The sequence below is a fragment of the Homo sapiens genome, chromosome 17 (assembly GCF_000001405.40).
Source record: "Homo sapiens chromosome 17, GRCh38.p14 Primary Assembly".
Classification (NCBI taxonomy): Eukaryota; Metazoa; Chordata; class Mammalia; order Primates; family Hominidae; genus Homo; species Homo sapiens.
The window spans coordinates 72,472,739-72,494,567 of record NC_000017.11 but is presented as its reverse complement, the minus strand read 5'-3'; the positions used below and the strand labels follow the sequence as shown (position 1 = coordinate 72,494,567).

Genomic DNA, 21,829 nt, shown 5'->3' with positions numbered 1-21,829 from the left:
TATCAAACACTCACTACATGCCTGATACTTAACTAGGAACTAGAAAGTGGGTGGTGAAGACAAGTGGAAGTAAATGCAAACCTATTCCCATATATGTTTGTCGCTAGATTGTTCCCACCAATTCGTTCTTGGAATTGATGAATGGACGTGTGTGTGTGCATGTGTAAGTGGAGTGTGTATGCGTGTGTGGTATTCTGAGGGCAGTCAGGTAGAGGGAAGGAGGGCAGAGGCAGAGAAATGGTATTTGTGATTATGGGTTGGGGAAGAAGTAGAAAGGAAGAATTAAGTAGCCCATTGACATTCATGTGATTGCAGCCAGCTTCGCTGAGTAAAATGTTGAAAACTCAAGCATGAAGATTGAGCTGATTGGAAACAAGGTCTGATTTGCTAAAGAGAGTGTCTTCTCATTGATGACTTCTTGGTGGGTAAATCGTTTTTCAAGTGCTGCTTAGCCGCTCCAGGTGTCGTCAACTCAAATGGATTCTGCCTTGAGAAATGAGGGCTGGGGGCAGAGGCAGTGACCTGCAGTCATTATAGGACACATAATGGCCAGATGCAAAGGAAAAACAAAAAAAAGACTCAGTTTTCTTCAAGTGTGAGGCACCTTGTCTGAGGTGTTCATGATCCGAAGGGCTCTTTATTTAATGATGTCGACATCGAGGTAACAAAACAGGTCATAGTTATAGAGGGAGTTTCTCCATGTAAGAGAGAGAGGGGATTTGGAATACACTCCAAGCATCTGTGCTCTCCAGAGTTGGTGTTCAGTTGCTTTCTTTCATGTGTGCTCTGTGCAGTCATAGAAGACCTCTCTCTCCTTTGAGCCTGAAATGCTGAGTCCTTCCAAATTGGAGATGGTCAGCCAGTGGTTCCTGGGCCAGATCTGATCCATAGATGTGTTTCACCTGGCTAACAGTAGTCCATGTTTAACTTCTTAAAATTAGTTGCCAACAGCACAAATTGCAATATCTTATTAAAAAAAAAAAACGTTTTCTAACCTCCCTTGAAAAGCCAGAAAATCTGGCAATAATGGCCTCTTTTTTCCCATATGGCAAAAATCAACAACCTGAGTAATAAATGTCTCCTTAAGACTGGACATTCGCTCTCAATTTATTCAAATCTCCACCAATCCCCACCTCATCCCCTCCACACCTGGCCCTCTTGGCCTAATTTAAGTGACTGCTGATTCTGGAGGCATTCAGGCCTTATGATAGGGCTCCAAATGCAAGCCATCCCCTCTCAGATGCTGGAGAAAGTGGTGATACTGGGTGAGACGCTAGTGTTGGCTGCTGGTTCCCTGGGGCCAGTGGTGCTGGCAAAAATGTGTGATTCTCTGCTGCTGGGTCAGAAGGCCAAGAGTTCAGATGCCTTGTCCCAGCTGTGCCCTTGACTTTCACAATGACCTGTCAGCAGTTATTTAACCCAGGTCAAGCCGAGTGGCAAAATGCCGAACACCAGGGTCTTTATAGATCTTAATACCTCTGCAGTAAAGCGGGGAAATGCCTCCATATGAAGTTTTACGTACATCTGTCTCCTTACACTTCTTATCCTTTCCCAGTGTCATGCCTTTGGGGTAAAAATTATTTTGAGAGTTCAATTAAAAATTATTGTTGTCAGTTGCTGTGGCTCATGCCTGTAATCCCAGCACTTTGGGAGGCCAAGGTGGGAGGATCACTTGAGTGCAGGAGTTAGAGACTAGCCAGGGCAACATAGTGAGATCCTGTCTCTACCAAAAAAAAAAAAAAAGCTAGATGTGGTGATGTGCACCTGTAGTCCTGGCTACTCAGCAGGCTGAGGTGGGATGACAGCCTGAGCTCGCGAGGTCAAGGCTACAGTGAGTCATAATGGTGCCACTACATTCCAGCCTGGGTGGCAGAGTGAGACCCTGTCTTAAAGAAAAAAATCATGCTAATATATTTTGCAGTCTCAGCTAAAATTAAACATATTCATACTTTATGAGCATTAATATATACCCACAAAAATGTGTTCATATTTCACCAAAAGATATGTACTAGAATGTTTATAGCAGCATTTTTTTATGGTAGCTCCAAATTAGAGAGTACCCAAATGACTACCAACAGTAGAATGGATAAATGAACTGTGGTATATTCCTTTAACAGAATATTATACAGCAATGAAAATGAATAGCTATAGCTACACACAAGAGTATAGAGGAATCCCTCAAGCATAATGTTGAGTGACAGATAAACAGATAACAAAGATCACACCTAGACCGGATAAAGACTATGCACTGTATTACTATATTTACATAAAGTTCAAAAAATAGGTAAAGTTAATCTGTGGTGTCAGAAGTTGGGAGAGTGACTGTCCTTGTTTGGTGGTAAAGACAAAGTGAGCAGGAAGTGGACTTCTGAGTGGATTGGTAATGATATGTTTCTTGATGTAAGTACCTGTTACATGGTTGTGTCTATTTTTTTTTTTTTTTTTTTTTTTGAGATAGAGTCTTACCCTGTCGCCCAGGCTGGAGTGCAGTAGTGTGATCTCGACTCACTGCAAGCTCTGCCTCCCGGGTTTACGCCATTCTCCTGCCTCAGCCTCTTGAGTAGCTGGGACTACAGGCACCCGCCACCATGCCTGGCTAATTTTTTTGCATGTTTAGTAAAGACGGGGTTTCACCGTGTGAGCCAGGATGGTCTCGATCTCCTGACCTCGTGATCCGCCCACCTCAGCCTCCCAAAGTGCTGGGATTACAGGCATGAGCCACTGCACCCAGCCGGTTGTGTCTATTTCATGAAAATTTGATGACCTGTACTCTCATGAAATGTGCATTCTTCTATTGTATATGTTATTGCCATAAAAAGTTAAAATTAATGAAAGCAAAACAACACAAAAACCAATTGAACAGACATAGTGCTGTATAACTTCCAAACACCAGTGCCAGGGTTTTTGTACAGGATCCTATATCCATCAGGGTTCTTGTTTGCAAGCAACAGAAATCACCTTTGGCTAATTTAAGACAAAGAGTGGTTTATTAGAAGCAGATTGTGGCTGGGCATTTGGTGGCTCACACCTGTAATCCCAGCACTTTGGGAGACTGAGATGGGAAGATTGCTTGAGGCCAGGAGTTCAAGACCAGCCTGGTCAACATAGTGAGACCCCCCATCTCTTAAAAAAAAAATGCAGATTGTATAGCTTAGCATCTCCATGAGGGTAAGGAAGCCAGGTTTGGAGGTTCTGCTGCCAAGAACATGTCTCAAGCACAGAAAAGCTGGTCTGATGATGATATCATTCCTACCGGTGGGCACACCCATCTTAGCCTACACCACTGACACTGGGTGTAGGAGGCTTCACTGGAATCACTCTCTCTCTAAGCAGGCCATTGCTTAGAGAGACACCAGTGCTTTGCCAGAATTCCTGTACACCATAGCTCCTGCCACTAGTGTTCTATGAGCTAGAACGTTCATAGTAGCACTTTTTGTAATAGCCTCAAATTAGAAAGTACTCAAATACTTTCTGCTGTTACCCCAACCCTCACCAGAGTGGATCTTTCAGGGCTTCTGCTGATTCCAGCTCAAAGTTGGGCATAGTTGTGACTGACTAGGGAAACCTAAGCCTGGTGTTCTTGCCTTAGATGCAAGGGAGGCTGGCAATAGAAGGGCCTGGCATTGTCAGCCTTAGTAGCAGGTGTCAGCATCTGTTTCATGAGGTGGGGCATTCCCCAAACTCAGGAGGTTGACAAATGTGTGCAAGAGACATGATCTACCTGGTAATGGCTAACTGGTTCTCCTGGGTGCTGGTGGGAGAAGCATTCAGTGTGATGATCAGAATTTTGCTGGTCTTTCCTAGACCAGAGGGAAAGTATGCAAACAAAGAGAATCTATAGGCTAAATTCTCTTCTTCTTTCCTTGCCACAGCCCCAAAATTCTCAGCCAGTATGAAAGAGAACATTCAATCCGAGTGTCATGAAGAGGTAGAATGTGAATGGAGATGCTGCTAATGTAAAGCTCGTGCCAAAGCTTCTCCCCCAAATTCTAGGGGCAGGGGGTAGATTCCAGTGTCAAAGCAATCGGTTCACCGAAGAGATGTGTTGGCAGGGTTCTTGAAGGTCACCTCCCCCAGCCTTCTACCCACTGCAGGAATTTTCTGTTTATTTGATCACATTTCATTGTGCCAAAACTTTTCCTGTTGTTTTAAAAATAAGTATATGGGTCCCCAATCTTATTTATAGAGAAAAAAACAAGGATATTTCTTCAGTGGTCCTAATTAATCTGCTCTATATTTGCAATATCTATGTTCTAGTGAGTTAAAGTTTGATGTGGTTGCTTTTTTGTACTTGTGCTTTTATTTTGGCTCATGTAATGGATTCCTTGGGCAAAATAACACATTCTAAGCATCCTTTTCCTCCTCTGTAAACTGAGTATGATAAGATTGTTGAGAGAATGAACATGATGAAGCTTGGATAACTGTGAACACTGGGCAACATGGTGCCTATTCAAATTAGTGGTGATAATAAATAGATTAATGATCTGGACCTTGGAGAGTTTGAAGATAAAATGAGAGCATGTATTAAAGCATCAGGTATGGATTGTAGTAAACACCAAATAAATTAGAATAACAAGAGCTGTTATTATTCACAGATGCAGAATACAACTGTCTGATCTTAGTGACAGAGTAATAGACTAATGGATCAGTGAATGTCAACCCCAACAGACTGTGAGAACACGCCTTCATCCCAAGACTCTCCTTCCCCCAGCCGAAGGCATATTATACAGATGAGGAAACCTAGGTTTTAAAAAATCTAGTAGCCATGGAGCTAAAACATGATATGAAAAATAAATGAACCCACTGAGCTATGTCACAGAGGCCAGGCAAGTAAAACCAAAGCCTCTGACCATTGCAACATGTGCCTTTCCAGGAGTGTCGCTTTGCAAGCCCTATCTAACCAGAGCAACAGAAGATGAGCAGTTCTGTAGTTTGGTTTCAGGAAATGCCTTGACTGTATGCTAATTTACATGTCCATAACTTAAAGTCCAAAGTTTGGAAGTTGCCCGATTACCCTCTAGCTCTCTAGTAACTGTCCTGACTCTTTCACATTGGGCAGAGCTGGGAGAAGCACCTGGCTGGGCATTACATCTGCACAGCCAGCTCTGCCGGCTGGAAGGATCGACGGAGGGCAGAAGCCTGTGGATCTTATGGCCACAGTATAAACAGGATGGAAGGCAGGGTGCTTGGGGAATGTGATGTGGTGCTGCTGTTCCTCTCTATCCCCTCCCTTCGTCTCCTGTCCTGTGGCTTATGCCACACTCCAGACAGGATGACAGCCTCCTGTTTCCAAGGCTGGGCTCCTGGACAGGAAGATGCCTAACTGGAAGAAAAGGCTTTGCCAGCAGTCCTGTACACCTGAGCTGGGCCCAGCAGGGAAAGCTCTGTGACTGCAAGAGGTTAAAACTTGCCCCTGTGTTTACTTTTGTTGGCTGCCACACTGCATAATAATCTGTCAGCACGTCAGGTGCGGATTTATTTGTGCATTAAAAATTGCCTAGAGCGGGCGGATGCAGACGCTCTACAGCACGCTGGAAAATGTGCCTCCAGCACAAAAACAGCCTCTCCAAATATTTCACCCTTTTAATAAGTGCATTTAATTAAAGTCATATAACTTTTTTTATTATATTAAAAAAAGCCCTTTGCCTGCTGAAGCTGCAAGTAAACTTTCAAACACAGGAGAGGGAGTGCTTTGCTCGTCCCTATTCTTTAAAATGGAAAACTCATCAACTCGTGTGCTCTCCTGCCCTTTCCATGCTGACTTGAAGAAGACATTGTGATGGTGTGGGTGGGGAGGAGGAGGCTGTCAGTGTGGTCTAGGGGAGTGTCCCCAGTCAGCACGGAGACAGGTACAGATGGTGTTTGGTTGTATGTTTAATGTTGCTTGTCGAAGGCGTAGGTGTGAACTTGACTGTGCATTCACCTGTAGGTTAACTGCCCATGCACCTATACAAAGGAGGAGGCTGTGGCATCAGCCCTGTAGACATAGACAGAGCATTTTTAATGTGTATTTTGAAGACAGTCCTACCCAAAGACAGAGGGATAGATGAAATGACCTCTTAAAACTTTACCTTCTAATAGTGGGATTTGTGATTATTGGAGGGGCAGGGAGAATGGCGTGGGATGAAGAGGGCAGGATCTAGATGATAGACACAGATTAGTCTGAGCTCTCTGCATTTTCCTTTTTCCCACCAAAGCTTGCAAAGTCTCTAAATGAGTTGAGACTAAGTTTGGCTCCGAGGTGGTGACAGCAGGGTTCTGTGGACTTGCTCTGCGTTTGCCAGAGGATTAGGAAACGTGTCAATGTGAGGGGTGGCAGCAGCCCTGGAGCTGCCGTGTGGGGACCCACAGTTGGTGAGGTGCGGCTGGGGGAAGAAAGGGTGGGGACGTGTGTGGACTGGCGGTGGAGGTGGCGCCGGTGAGGAGGGGGCTGCAGGGCTGTGTTTGGAGCGGGCAACCACAACCACATGGCGACTGGAAGCCTGCTAATTATGCAGCCTAAGGGAGCAATGTCGACCTGCCAGAGCCGCCCGGAGAGGTGGCACGGAAAACCTCAGAAGGGGTCTTGTGTATGCCTTGGGTCTGACCAGGAAATAGCCTCAGGGGCCGTGATGCTGGGCCCCAGGGCCGGGGGAAACAGAACTGGCTGCTCTGCATGTCAACAAGAATGGGTTTCAAAACTGGCCTCCCAGAGGTTCTCCATGCAGGAGGGAGCAGAGATTCAGAATCATTCCTCCTGGGTGCCAGGCTGGAGGTCTCTGGAGCTTCTGAAAGCCAGGATGCCCATTCCAGAAATTCTTCTGAACCAACCACCTTGGTCTTTAGCATTCTGGCGCTCGTTGGCCCCCTGGAAATGCTCATTAGCTTATTTTTACGGCTGCAGAAACAGAAATCTCAGAGTTGGTTACTCAAGGCCACCCAGCATGAACAAGGTGACCAAAGACCAGGCAGTTTTTTCTTTTTTTTAAATTAGTCTTTTCTTAGCATCTTCTAATGATATGGGAGCATTGCTATTTATGATTATTTTTCCTGTTCACAGAAAGTAAACAAATTCAAGCTTCCGTTCTCAACCTTCTCTTAGATGTTAGGACTCCTCACCTCCAACCTGGGTTGAGTTTTATGGCTTTCCCAGCATCTCCTGTGGCTTAAAAAAGAAATGTTTTAATTGAAATCATCGTACGTTGTTGTCGTTTGAGAATTTAGTAGCTCTTCCACTTCCCAGAAGAAAATAGATTCTATTTTAGGAATCAGGTTATTCTACATTGAAGCCTAAGGTGTACTGTAAATGTTGTTCTTTGCGTGGTAGAAAATAATATTAAATATAAGCGTTGATTAAATGCTATATTTGTGTAGGTGATATATATATATATTACATACTTTAACATATATATATTTTATGCTCAGAAATATATATGCATGTATATTTTAAAGTATGAGGCTTTTTGTTAAGCAAACAAACATCCCTCCAGCATGACAGGGAGAGGACACTAATGCTAAGCCAATTAGTCATTGTCTGTCTGTGAAAAACTATTTTAGGCCACCTGAAAGAGCTAATAAGCACCTACTATGTGTTAGGCACTGTCTACAGACTTCCTGAGAGAGTCTAAGTGGGGCAAGACCTGAAATAATTTTGAAAGCATTTCTTTACTATTCATCTATGCATTGTGTATTCTAGAAAATTAGAACCCCCCCACCCCAAAACATGAAATAAAATCACCTGTATTTGCCAGAGTCTTTTACAGTCTGACTTCCCCCTACTTAACAGTGTCCTGTAGGTATTTCCTCTAGTTGTTAAATATTCTTCTACAATGGAGATTCTGAAACATTTGGTCTCAGGACTCATTTGCATTTTTTAATTAGTGAGAGCCTCAAAGAGCTTTTTTTTATGTTGGTCAGAACTACTGATTTTTACTATATTAGAAATTCAAATTGAAAAATTAATAAAAAATATTTATTTTAAAATAATGATAAATCAATTGCATGTTAACATCATATTTTTATGATAGATAGCTATATTTTCCAAAACAAAAATTGGTGAGAAGAGTAAGATTTTTTATATTCTTGCTAAATTCTATATTGTCTGGCTTAAGAGAAAATAGCTGGATTCTGAAATCTGTGTCTGCATTCCATCTATAAAGACATGTTGTTGTAAAGTATATGAAGAAAATCCAGCCTCAATCAGACATGTATTTGGAAGAAAGAGAAGTATATTCATAGCCTTTTCAGATAATTATGCATTTTTTTGATATTTCACAAAAATTTGACAAATGGTAGTCTTTTTAAAGGTGGTTGCAATGTAAACTTAAAAAAACATTTTAATGAACTTTCTTATTCTGTTACATTAATATTTATTCAGCCTTGCACTTTGAATGGATCTTTTACCCATGCCAGATTTTGAAACATCATTTATTAGTCATTTGGAAAATGTTAATTCAATTAAGTTATACAGATCTTCCAAATATAAATACATTTCATTTTACAATGTCAAAGAATCACATTCTTTAACCTCACCCTCGATATCAGAGAGGTCTGTCAGAACTGGGAATCTGTCAAGTTCATGGTGATGAAGACAAATTTTTAAAAATTATAATTCTTTATTGTAGCTCAAATTGTATCATCCTTCACCGTTATTATTTCCCTTGAAATGGCAGGCTTTCTTAATTCATTCTCGAGCAAATGTCTGCCAGATACCCAAGCGTGAATACCCAGAATTTGTCTGTCAGTTCTTTCAAGTAAAAATGGTGTTCAGTGAAAAATGCAGCTGGTTTTGCTGGCAGCTTAATACTCCCCTAAGTGCTTTCTCTTGAGACAAACATCATATTCCACTATGTGCCAGGAACGTTTTATGCACACTTCCCATTTTGTCATACAGAGTATTGAAATAAGAGACATACTCAAGGGTCAAGATTTATTAAATTGACTATTTTTATTGCATCACCAAGGATATTCTTAGGTGAAATTTGCATTAATATATATTTATTGTGAGTGTGGGGTAGCAGTTTGGCACCACTGCCTTCATTCATGCTAAAGTGTTGATAATTATACCTGCCATTTTTTTTGGACCATTGGTGCAGATGTACTCCGTGAAAAAGGCAATAACATCTTTTTTTTCCTTTTTTTGGTCGGTGTGGGGGATGGAGTTTCGCTCTTGTTGCCTAGGCTAGAGTGCAATGCGCGATCTTGGCTCACTGCAACCTCTGCCTCCTGGGTTCAAGCGATTCTCTTGCCTCGGCCTCCTGAGTAGCTGGGATTACAGGCATGTGCCACCACGCCCAGCTAATTTGGTATTTTTAGTAGAGACGGGGTTTTGCCATGTTGGTCAGGCTGGTCTCGAACTCCTGACCTCAGCATCTTGATATTATTATGAAAGTAGTGTTTATCTTGTAGACTGCCCTCCCTGCCAGAAGAGGGTACAGGAAACTCTCAGGGTCCAGGGACCGTGCATAGAGAACTGCTGTCCTACAGCATTTTCAATTGCCTGGTATTCTATCGCATGGTGTACTTTAATTAATTTAAATAATCCCCTGTGGTTGGACATTTAGATTGTTGAAAGTAGCAAAAATTAAAAACGTTGCTGCAATGGCCATCCTTGTAACAAAACCTGTGCGTATATCCGTGATTATTTTGTTGAGATAAATTTTTATAAGGAGAAATATGTTTCTTTCTTTCTTTCTCCTTCTTTCTTTCTTTCTTTCTTTCTTTCTTTCTTTCTTTCTTTCTTTCTTTCTTTTCTTTCTTTCTTTCTTTCTTTCTTTCTTTCTTTCTTTCTTTCTTTCTTTCCTTTCTTTCCTTTCTTTCCTTTCTTTCCTTTCTTTCCTTTCTTCCCTTCCTTCCTTCTTTCTTTCTTTTCGAGATGGAGTCTTGCTCTGTTGCCCAGGCAGAAGTGCAGTGGTGCACTCTCTGCTCACTGCAAGCTCCGTCTCCCAGGTTCACACCATTCTCCTGCCTCACCCTCCTGAGTAGCTGGGACTACAGGCGCCCGCCACCACGCCCGGCTAATTTTTTGTATTTTTAGTAGAGACAGGGTTTCACTGTGTTAGCCAGGATTGTCTCGATCTCCTGACCTCATGATCTGCCCGCCTCTGCCTCCCAAAGTGCTGGGATTACAGGCGTGAGCCACTGCGCCTGGCCATGTATATTTCAATAGTCCTTGATACAGATAGATGACACCCCAAATAGATAGATGGACAGACTTCAAAACGGTTATCCAAAATTTCCCCAGCCATATGTTAACCTTGTGCCTACTTTCTCAGCACTCCTTGTATGTTTTATTTTTAAGTTATCAACATTTAATCTAATTTGAATCTCACAATTCTATGGGGTAGGTAGTGCTCTTCTCATTTTACAACTCAAGTTCAGGACAATGAAACCACAATGTATGGCTGCTGTGTGGCAGAGCTGGGATTTGGATCCAGGTGTATGTGATTCTAAAGCCTCTGTCCTTCCCACTACTCTCTCTTCCCATGTGGATCCCCAGGGAACTTCCTTGCAGGCAGCAGACATTCGCAAAGTCCCTTGTCTAAGCAGGACTCTGGACAAAGTCTGAAAAAGACTCAGAGAACTGAAGGACGGAGTCCCTCACCTCAGAGTGCTTACAGTCTAATACAGGGGTTGGCAAACTACAACTCATGAACCAAATCCAGCCTGCCACCTTTTGTAAATAAACTTTTATTAGAACACAGCCACTTACATTCATTTGCATACTCTCTGTGGCTACTTTTGAGTTACGGCAGCAAAGTTGAGTAGTTTCGACTGAGATCGTGTGGCTGACCAGACCAAACACATTTACTCTCTGGGTTTTCACTGAAGAACTTTGCTGATCCTGGCTTCGTATTTGGACAAACTGACCAGGAATGAAAATAGGGGTGCTAAATTGTGGGTCACCAAGGTGGGCTCCTGGATGGGTGTGACTGGTGGTCCTGCCTACGTTCTGGTTGTATCATCATGATAGCAAGAGAAATACCCCTAGGGTGCTTAGAAACATTGACCATTTTTCATGCCAAAGTGTGGGATTTGGAGAACCGTGGGTTCCAAAACTTTGGCTGCATTAATTCTTTCCCAGGGGATAGGCGTTGCTGGGGATGGGATCTGGCAATGCTGAGAGGTATAGGGAAAAGCTGGGTAATGAGTGGGATCCTCAGAAGAGGTTGTGAGGTAAAAGTGTTTGCGAATGAATGCCTTCAGCTTCAGGATAACTGGGGAGGATAAATATTTGAAGAATCTTGGGTTGTCCAAGTTGACACCTGATAGGGTTTGGATCCGTGTCCCCACCCAAATCTCATGTTGAAATGTAATCCCCAGTTCTGGAGAGGGGGCCTGGTGGGAGATGATTGGATCATGGGGTGGTTTCTTATGGCTTAACACCATTCTCCTAGTGCTGTTCTTGTGATCGAGTTCCCACAAGATCTGGTTGTTTAAAAGTGTGTAGCACCCGCCCCTTCCTCTCTCTTTCTTCCATCTGCTCAGGCCATGTAAGTAAGACAGGCCTCCTTCCCCTTTGCCTTCTGCCATGATCATAAGTTTCCTGAAGCCTCTCCAGAAGCTGAGCAGATGACAGCCTCCTGCTTCCTGTACAGCCTGTGAAACTGTGAGCCAATTAAACCTCTTTTCTTCTTCTTTCTTTCTTTCTTTCTTTTTCTTTCTTTCTTTCCTTCCTTCTTTTCTTTTTTTCTCTTTTCTTTTCTTTTTCCAGATAGAGTCCCATTCTGTTGCCCAAGCTGGAGGGCAGTGATGCAATCTCGGCTCACTGCAACCTCTGCCTCCTGGGTTCAAGTGATTCTCCTGCCTCAGCCTCCTGAGTAGCTGGACTACAGGCGTGTGCCAACATACCCAGCTAATTTTTGTGTTTTTAGTAGAGATGGGGTTTCACCATGTTGGCCAGGCTAGTCTCAAACTCCTGACCTCAAGTGGTCCACCCATCTCTACCTCCCAAAGTGTTAAGATTACAGGTGTAAACCACTGCACCTGGCCTAAACCCCTTTTCTTTATAAATTACCTAGTCTCAGATATTTCTTTCTGGCAATGTGAGAACAAACGAATACAGCACCCAGCAGTACCAAACAATAATTTCATTGCAAATGGCTGTTCCATTCATCTGAGCCTCAAAGTCCTCATCTCTAGCACCGGGACCATGATGCCCCCTCCTGAGGCTGGCGCTGGTGAGTGGGAAGGTAAAAGGATGCCTGTGGAGTGTCCAGGGCGGATGCCCCTCTCATGGAAGTGTTTCATGACTGTTTTTACTGCTCTTCCTCTTGTTATTAGCAAGGGAGGCACCCTAGCTCTTTTTGGAACTGGTAAAGAGTTAAGAAACACATGATCCAACCTTTGTTTTTACTGAGTTTTTTCTTTTTCATCTGCCTGCCCAGGGAGGGATGCTAGTTGGTCATCTCAACCTTTTCTGACTGTCATGGCGACATTCCGGCTGTCACTACTCCAGCGTCATCATTTTATGCCATTGCTGCCCTTTGTGTACAGCTGGGGCAAAAGGCACCTCGCAGAACAAATAACAGGTCTTTTATAATGGAGATAGCTTTTATAATTGGGATGGCTGTCGGACCAACACCTGAGATGTCACTTCCTTTATTGGCTGAGTTCTCCATGGGAAATGTGATGAGAGATGGTGGATTTTGGTGTGTGTGGTACCATTTCAGCCTAAAGCAGATGTTAAAATGTGCTCTACTTAGAGGTATCCCTTCCCCTTCCCTAGCAGAGAGGGGCTCATTTTGTTCTTTTCTCTATCTCTGGAGGGAAGAGCTTTTTTTCAGACATTGTCCCCGGGCCAGGAAAACAAAATGGTGAGTCGGCAATTTTTAACTGGAAGCTCAAAAAAAAGAAGCCACCATATTAATTAGTTTTGTAAGCATTCCAGACAAATGCAGACTGAAGTGCAAATAATATTTTTGGCTTTCTTTGGAAGGACAAAGTTTCTTTAACATTTTCAAATTCTCCTGCTACTCCAAATTCTGTCTCCTGTTAATGTTCCCTGCATCAAAATCTTAAAAGACTTCTGTTTACTTATTATCCCAACCTCAAAAAGTACCATGATGTTACTAGCACATCTAAATCTTAGGAAAGGGTGAAGAGGGAGGGCCCCATTTGTACCTTCTGGAAAGACCAGAGCATGCTCTATGGCCAGTTATTGGGGGTCCTGTTGAGCTTATCTGGGCTGAGCTACCCATCGACCAAGGAATGTCATTCCTTTACACGGAGGTTTCTTTGGTCTGGAGTCCCTAAAGAAGAGGTCTTGTTTGTGATGTCAACGTTATGAATATCCCCAGGTGCAGGGATGTTGCAAATCTCAGTGTTGACCATCCACTTGGCCAACACTGGGGAGCATCAGTTTGCTCCTCAGCATGACCTCTGCCTGTTGAGGAACCATCCCCTTCCCCAAGTGTTCACCTACTGTGCCTCTTAATTTGTGTTTCTTTAAGAAAGTGCTAGCAATGGGAGATGTAATAAATGATGTTAAAACACTTATTAAAAATTTAGGGGCATTTCAGGCAATGTGCTTTATTTATCCACCAGGAGCACAGGAATTTCCCTTCAGAGAAAATTCCCATTTTTTTTTTCCCCAAAAGACAAATCAGGGTAGATTTCTCAGGGGGGTCAGTGTGATATGTGTAAAAATCCTTGGTAACCCAAAGGGAAGATGCAGGGAGTTTTTTTATTTGCAGAAATGCTCCAGAATTAGGATATAGTAGCATGTTCTAGACTATCTCTGCTTTTGAAAATATGGACTATGACTTCATTCATCCAACCAGATATTTATGTATTTATTTTTCGAGACTGAGTCTCGCTCTATCGCCCAGGCTGGAGTGCAGTGGTGCGATATCAGCTCACTGCATTGTCTGCCTCCCAGGTTCTAGTGATTCTCCTGCCTCAGCCTCCCAAGTAGCTGGGATTACAGGCACCCACCACCATGCCTGGGTAGTTTTTGTGTTTTTAGTAGAGACATGGTTTCACCATGTTGGCTAGGCTGGTCTCGAACTCCTGACCTCAAGTGATCTGCCCACTTCCGCCTCCCAAAGTGCTGGGATTACAGGCGTAAGCCACTGCGCCTGGCCCCAACCAGATATTTTTAATAGCTAACTATATGCTAGGCATTCTCCTTGCTGGAGTTTTAGCAGTAAATAAGCAAACACGCCCCTGCCCTTAAGGAGCATATATTCAAATGGGAGAGATAGATAATATCCAAGTACACAAATATAGAATTTGGAGGCTAGAAGTCCAAAATCAGCTTGTCAGCAGGGCTGTGCTCCCTCCAAAGGCTCCAAGGAAGAATCCTCCATTACCTCTTCCAGCATCTGGAGGCCCCAGGCATTCCTTAGCTTGTGGTGGCATCACATCAGTCTTCCCATGGCCTTTTCCTCTGTGTGTCTGTCTTCTGCTCTCTCTTTTATAAAGGACACCTGTTATTGGATTTAGGGCCTCCTAGGTAATCCAGGATGATCTCATCTTGAGATCCTTAATTTCATTTGCAAAGACCCTTTTTCCCATAAGGAGATAGTCAAAGCTTCTTGGGATTAGGATGTGGACATATCTTTTGGGAGCCACCAGTTAACCAGGTAAAATATGGAACCTGGGAGAATAACTTCAACAGCAGGTATTAAATCAAAATTAAATGTGGTCCCTGAGTGGAATCCTGGAGGACCTTACCTGCAGCCACGTGGCTGTGGACAGCTGCATTTCAGTGGTGACAAGGAGGAAGCAGCTGTGAGATGCATGGTGCAACAGGGTCTGGTTACTGCATTGTGGTAGTGTGGAGCCACTGAGTGGCTGGGGGAGGCTACCAGCTCAGCGGGCTTCTGGTAAGACTTTGCAGTGGCAGCCACTTCCAAGGAGGGAAATCATAGCATCAAGATGCAGGGCTGTGGGTCTTTGTGGGAGCACCTTGTAGAACAAATGACAGGTCTTTTATAATTGAGAAATTGAGAAAACACAGACCCAGAGGAACAGAGTAGAATGAGTTCAAGCAGAGTGGGGAGAAGAGGCAATCTCATTCTCTTTGCATATTTCATAAGCGTAGGGTGAGCAATACTGATGGAGGTGGGAGATCTCCCTGGACTTTTTGATGGAGGTTGTTTGCAGACGTCAGCAGCTTGGGAAGCCAGGACCTCAGCTCAAGAGGAGGTGTTACTGCCTTGTGCAATTGTCTCTTCGGGGAATGTCCTCAGTGGGGTGGGCAGGTGCACCTGATGTGGCTGTGGCATTGAACCTGCCTCCAGAGGGCGGTCACTCTGCTCTAGGACTTTATTGCTTAGTCTTTTCTCACTCAAAGTCTTTTGCCAGAAGAAGGCAGGGAGGAGCAAGTCAGTATGCCCAGAGCCTGCCCAAGTTGGGGATGATGTTTGCTCAATTCTGTGCAACCCCAGCTGTTGCTCCAGGTGCTAAGTTAGACACTTGGTAATTAGCGGGACTAATTGATTTAATCATGTTTGTGCTGTTTTTCTTCTCCCTGTTGTTCTTCTTGTCCTGATCCTTCAGGTTTTCCTGGATTCACTCCCAGGTGCGTTGGAAGGTAGTGTTGAAGGAGGATGGATACTCCTGATGCCAGAGATTAGAGCAAGCTCTGGCTTGGTGGTGGTGGGGGTTGGAGGATACTGGTCTCCTCCATATTGTAGATTGGAGTTTCTCAGCCTCGGCACTATGGGCATTTTGAGCTAGACAATTCTCTTTGGTGGGGGGGATGTGTAGCAGCACCCCTGGTCTCTATTCAGTGGATGCCAGTAGCGTACACCTTCCCCATTGTGACAACTAAAAATGTCTCCAGATGCTGCCAAACGCCCGTTGGAGAGGGGGTCAATATTTCTCCATTGAGAACCCCTCTTCTAGATCATACCGACCACTGATATTTAACTTGGACATTTTGGATGAAAATACTCTTCAAAGTCCATGCAGTGGGCTGGGATGATGAATGTCCTCCTTTTTCTTTTTCTTTCTTTCTTTTTTTTTTTTTTTTTTTTGAGACAGTGTCGTTCTGTCACCCAGGCTGGAATGCAGTGACATGATCTCAACTCACTGCAAAGTCCGCCTCCTGGGCTCAAGCCATCCTCCCATCTCAGCCTCCTGAGTAGCTGGGACTATGGGGACATGCCACCACATCTGGCTAATTTTTGTATTTCTGGTAGAGAGGGGGGTTTCACTATGTGTCCCAGGCTGTTCTCGAACTCCTGAGCTCAAGCACTCTGCCTGCCTCGGCCTCCTGAAGTGTTGGGATTACAGGCGTGAGCCACTGTGCCTGCCCATGAAAGCGCTGCTGCTGCTGCTTTTTTTCTTTTCTTCTTTCTTTTTATTTTTTTTGACAGAGTCTCACTCTGTCGCCCAGTCTGGAGTGCAGTGGCACGATCTTGGCTCACTGCAACCTCCGCCTCCCGGGTTCAAGCAATTCTCCTGCCTCAGCCTCCCGAGTAGCTGGGATTACAGGCACCCGCCACCACGCCCAGATAATTTTGTATTTTTAGTAGAGACAGGGTTTCACTATGTCGGTCAGGCTGGTGTCAAACTACTGACCTCAGGTGATCTATCTGCCTCAGCCTCCCAAAGTCCTGGGAGAATGCCCTTCTTAACCACTTCCCATTGCCTTCTTTTGGGCCTGCCATAAACCAAAGCTGAAGGCCAGTGAAGGTGCTGGGTCGGTGGCCAGGACCTGACACCCCATCTCCTCAAACACAGGGTCTTCTCTCAAAACCATACAATCCTTGTGTCAGAAGGGGGAAAAAAAAAAAAAAAGCTGTGATCTATAGAAGGACAACAGGTGGCAGGGTTAGCGTCACCCGGAAGATAAGCAGAACCAGAAAAGCCACTTCTCTGTGGAAGGTGAAATGAAAACTAACCTTCCCCGGCTGCTCAGTTGGAATCAGTCCAATATGGCAGCCGAGGCCTGGGAGAAGGCTTCGCTGTTTCTCTGTCAGTGGGAGCCCTGGGGCTGGCTCTCTCAGCCTTGCTTCTTAAGGGGCCTTGTCAGGTTCTTCGGAGCCTTGGCCTCCTATCCAAAAGTCTTATTTTCATTTGGGGGTCTCCTATAGATGTCAACGTAGTGCTTTGTGTGCAGAAAAAATTCTGCACGCAAATTGTCTTTGGCAAATGAATGAAGATTGATATACTCATGGAAAGGATCCAGACAATCTGAGGAGGGTCTGCAATCCAGGGCAGGAGGGAGGGTGGAAGAGAGAGACCAGCTACCCAGAATCATCCACCTACAGTAGTGCTGTCCAAGAGAAATAAAACGCAAGCCACGCAGGTGATTTCAGACATTCTGGTAGCCACACCGAAAGGAGGACAAAGGAAACAGATGAAGTCAATTTCAGTTATATATTTGATCTCTACCCCAGTATATCCCCAATCTTACTGCAACATGCAATCGATATAAAACAAAGTATTAGGGAGATGATATGCATTATCGAGAAAATATACGTTATGTAGAAAATCAGGCATGTATTTCACACTCAACAGCACATCTCAGTTTTAGACTTGCCATGTTTCTAAGGCTCATTGCCCAGAGGCTTCTGTCCTGGACCGTGCTGGTCTAGAGAGGAAGTTTAAATGATTAAATTTTGGAGATGAACTCCTCATGGTAGAATAGGAATGAAAAATGAAGTTAAGGACTTGTGTGGAAAAGATTTCATCTGCAAATGCCCGTGACTGCCCTGACAAGTGCCTGCCAAGGTAGCGCCTCCGTCCCCCCACACGAGGTCTGTTCGCAGGAATCCATTGGCTGCCGCTCTCCCCTCCCCCTGACCCCTTTGTAGTTCCCTCTATTCGCTTTTGTTTCAAACGAATGAGCACACAAAAAAGGGCTCTGCATTCCACCGGGCAATCTTATTCAAACACGGCATGGTTGTGTTTTTCTCAATTAATCAGCCCGCCCCCGCCCCCCACCTCACTCCTCTCCTCTCCTCTCTGGTTTTCTCTGCATCTTAATCAGGGTCCCAGCTGGACTCCAACTTCAGGATAGTTTCAGAGGCTGCACAGACACCTGCCCAGGTAAATTAAAAGCAGCCCAGGCCTTTTCAGGTTTCTCTTTCCTCTTAGACTGACAAACACTAGGAGGCTTTTCCTTAGGAGGGACAAACGGACACCTTGGGAGAGGAGGAGTTAACCACGGTGAATAAAGAAGGACTAGAAAAGAAAACAGCAGTGAGACAAGCCATCTCCATTCAAAGGCAAGGACTTTGGAAGTGGCCCTTGGTTTCTCTGAAACGTTTGAGTCCGGCTTTGCCTTCGACGTCTCCTTCCCCTGCCCCTGCCAAGGATTGAGAGCTCTGGAAACCTGACTTTGCCTTGGCCTTTGCTTCCGAGGTAGAAGGGCCATTTTGTTCCCTCTGCTGCCTCACCTCGAGGTCTCCAGAATGCTCTGTGATCAGAGTCTTGCAGGCAAACCTGGCCGGGCAGCTGCCCAGGTGGTTATCTGATGGGGCTTCAGAAATGGGTCCTCCCGCTCTCAGCTCTGTACCAACTTCTGCCATTAGATCAGTGGTCTCAACCAGGGGCAATTTTGCCCTGCAGAGGACGTTTGGCAATGTCTGGAAACATTTTTAGTTGTGACAGCTTTGTGGGGAGAGGGGTGCTCTGGGAATCTAGTGGGTAGAGGCCAAGGACGCTGCCAACCATCCTACAGGGCCAGCCCCCTCAACAAAGAATGGTCCACTCTAGAGTGTCAGTTGTACCAAGATGGGGAAACCCTGCATCAGAGCATTTTTCCTTTGAATTTGCAACATTTTTTTTTTTTTTCTCAAAAAGAACCTTCTCTTAGCCTGCAGAGGTCCCTGGGAGGAGTTGTATACACTTAGGCAGATAGATGGTTAAATGACTGCCTTGATTATCAGCTAACACCTTCCAGGGCCTTGTGGGCAGACCTGGATCCAGGCTGGGTACCTGAGGGAGGGTTGAGCAACCCAGGAGGGAGAGAACGGGAGCTGAGAGCTCCCAAACTAAATGTCTGAACTCGAGTCTTTTAAGGGAGGGGGTGCGCTTCCCCCGTAAGGGTCTCATTTCATTCTCTCCAAGGCCTTCCCCTCTATGTGAGCAAAGCTCGGGTTAGGGTCCAGTTTAGGACCTAGTACTTATATCTCTAAGGCTAGTATAATGAACCAGCCTTTCCCGATGTTGCAAGGTAAGTTGCCTTGCAACTTCAAGAGGCAAAAGTGAAAACTTGGAATTTCCCATTGTTTTTAGTAGGGTCAGAGGCAGTCAGCACATTTTCATGGAAGTTCCCATGGAGAAATAGGAAAAAAAAAAAAAAAGAGAGAGAGAGAGAGAGAGAGAGAGAGAGACCAGCCTACTGGTCTACCAGGTCTGAGATGTGGGTTGGCCTTGAAGTTTACTCAGGGTGGGTGGAGCCCTTTTGCCAGGTCACCTGGTCTCAATTCTATCTTCATACAGGCTCTCCCCGGTACTGTGAGATTCTCACAGCTCACACCAGGCTATACTCTTCAGAAATCCTCATTTCACTTCCAGCAAACTCAGTCAAATGGCCACAGGTGTCTGTCTGGCAGTGGGGGTGTGTGTCCTGGATCCACGTGAAGCAACACACAGACCCAGTCCACAGAGACCCTTCTTTCTGAGCACCTGGGGGTCTGGAGCCTGAAGACCACAGCACAATCTTGACTTTGCCTTGTCTCACTCAGAGAACAGTCCCAGAGGAGCCATCTGGGTTACTTGGCCGCTGGGGAGTTTGTGCAGAGGGTCTCTGATGAAGTTATGGGCAATCTGGAGTCCATCATGCCTGACAGTCTTCCGCCCCAACCCTCTCCTCCTTGTAGAGTTGTTGCAAAGATTAAAAGGCATTTGGGGCCTGAAGGGAAGAGAGACAACATAATTTTGGGATGCAGAGGGGGAAAAAATATCTTGTTGTTGAAAAGAAAAATAAGACCTAGCAGGATACATGCTTGGCTGTTTCTCAGTGTTGTCTGAGAAGTACTTTCAAAAATTCCATTTGACCTTTGCATCTTTTATTTTAACCATGGATATTGCATTTTTCTCTTTTATATTTTTTTTTCCTCCTTTCCTTTCCTGGTCTCCTGATCCCAAGCAACCTGGGTAGGTATCGTTAAGTAGGAATAATTCTAGACTTGGAGTAAGAAAAACTGTCACTAGCGAGCTGTGTGACCTGGCCCAAGTCATTGAACCTCTCTGAGCCCTAGTCCTTTGTTCATAAGATGAAGTCATACTAACCTAGAAGAAGTTGTTAAAAGGACCAAATGGGCTCATGGCTATGAAGGAGCTTTGTGAAGTATGACAAAGAAGTGTTTTATTTTTGTAATTTTTATGTCCATGGGTTATTGGGGAACAAGTGGTGTTTGGTTACATGAGTGAGTTCTTCAGTGGTGATTTGTGAGTTTTTTTGCATCATCACCTGAGCAGTATACACTGCACCCAGTTTGTAGTCTTTTATCCCTCACTCCCTTCCTACCCTTTTCCCCGCGTCCCCAAAGTCCATTGTGTCATTCTTATGCCTTTGTATCCTCATAGCTTAGCTCCCACTTATGAGTGAGAACATATGATGTTTGGTTTTCCATTCCTGAGTTACTTCACTTTGAATAGTAGTCTCCAATCCCATCCAGTTGCTGCAAATGCCATTAATTCATTCCTTTTTATGGCTGAGTAGTATTCCATCATTCATATATATATATACGTATATATTCATACATATATTCATACATATATGTATGAATATATACATATATACATATATACATATATACACATATATACATATATACATATACGTATATGCGTATATACATATACGCATATACGTATATACGTATATGCATATACGTATATGCGTATATACATATATGCATATACGTATATGCGTATATACATATATGCATATACGTATATGCGTATATACATTATGTATATACGTATATGCGTATATACATACATATATTCATATATATTCATATATATACATACATATATTCATATATATTCATATATATACATACATATATTCATATATATTCATATATATATTCATATATATTCATATATATATTCATATATATTCATATATATTCATATATATATTCATGTATATTCATATATATTCATATATATATTCATGTATATTCATATATATATTCATATATATTCATATATATTCACATATATAGTCACATATATATTCACATATATATTCATATATATTCATATATATGAATATATATGTGAATATATATATGAAAAAAATATATATATATATAAAGTTTCTTCATCCACTCATTGACTGATGGACATTTGGGTTGTTTCCACGTTTTTACAGTTGTGAATTGTGCTGCTATAAACATGCATGTGCAAGTATCTTTTTCGGATAGTGACTTCTTTTCCTCTGGGTAGATACCCAGGAGTGGAATTGCTGGGTCCAGTGGTAGATCTACTTTTAGTTCTTTAAGGAATCTCCACACTGTTTTCCATCGTGGTTGTACTAGTTTACATTCCCACCAGTAGTGTAGAAATGTTCCCTGTTCACTACATCCACACTAGCATCTATTATGTTTTGATTTTTTTATTATGGCCATTCCTGCAGGAGTAGGGTGGTATTGCACTGTGGTTTTGATTTGCATTTCCCTGATCATTAATGATGTTGAGCATTTTTTCATATATCAAAAAAGTGTTTTTTATTATTTGCGTTGAGGGATTTTTTACTCTCTTCCAGAGGAGACCTTCTCATAGTCCAAGGCAGGAATCTTCATCAACAGGCATGTAACTTTCAAGCCCTTCTCTCACTTTCTAACCTCTTGCCTCCAGGGCTCAGGGTGATTACTTATTGGAGAAGACAAGTGGGAGGTGGGAGCAAGAAAGGGTAAGCATGTGGGGTTATTAC

General features: G+C 43.6%; 1 long non-coding RNA gene across 5 annotated transcripts in view, besides 1 other annotated feature; it reads left to right on the top strand.

The window, feature by feature from the left end:
• The window catches only part of LINC00673 (long intergenic non-protein coding RNA 673), a 189,483-nt gene that overhangs the window by 98,237 nt on the left and 69,417 nt on the right, over nucleotides 1-21,829 (top strand). The window lies entirely within an intron of this gene.
• Nucleotides 17,314-18,227: an enhancer, noted in NCBI's record as "OCT4-NANOG-H3K27ac-H3K4me1 hESC enhancer chr17:70472481-70473394 (GRCh37/hg19 assembly coordinates)". NCBI's record gives its function as "activates a minimal SCP1, AML or CMV promoter by ChIP-STARR-seq in naive H9 embryonic stem cells {active_cell/tissue: H9 hESC(naive)}" and the evidence as "EXISTENCE:reporter gene assay evidence [ECO:0000049][PMID:30033119]".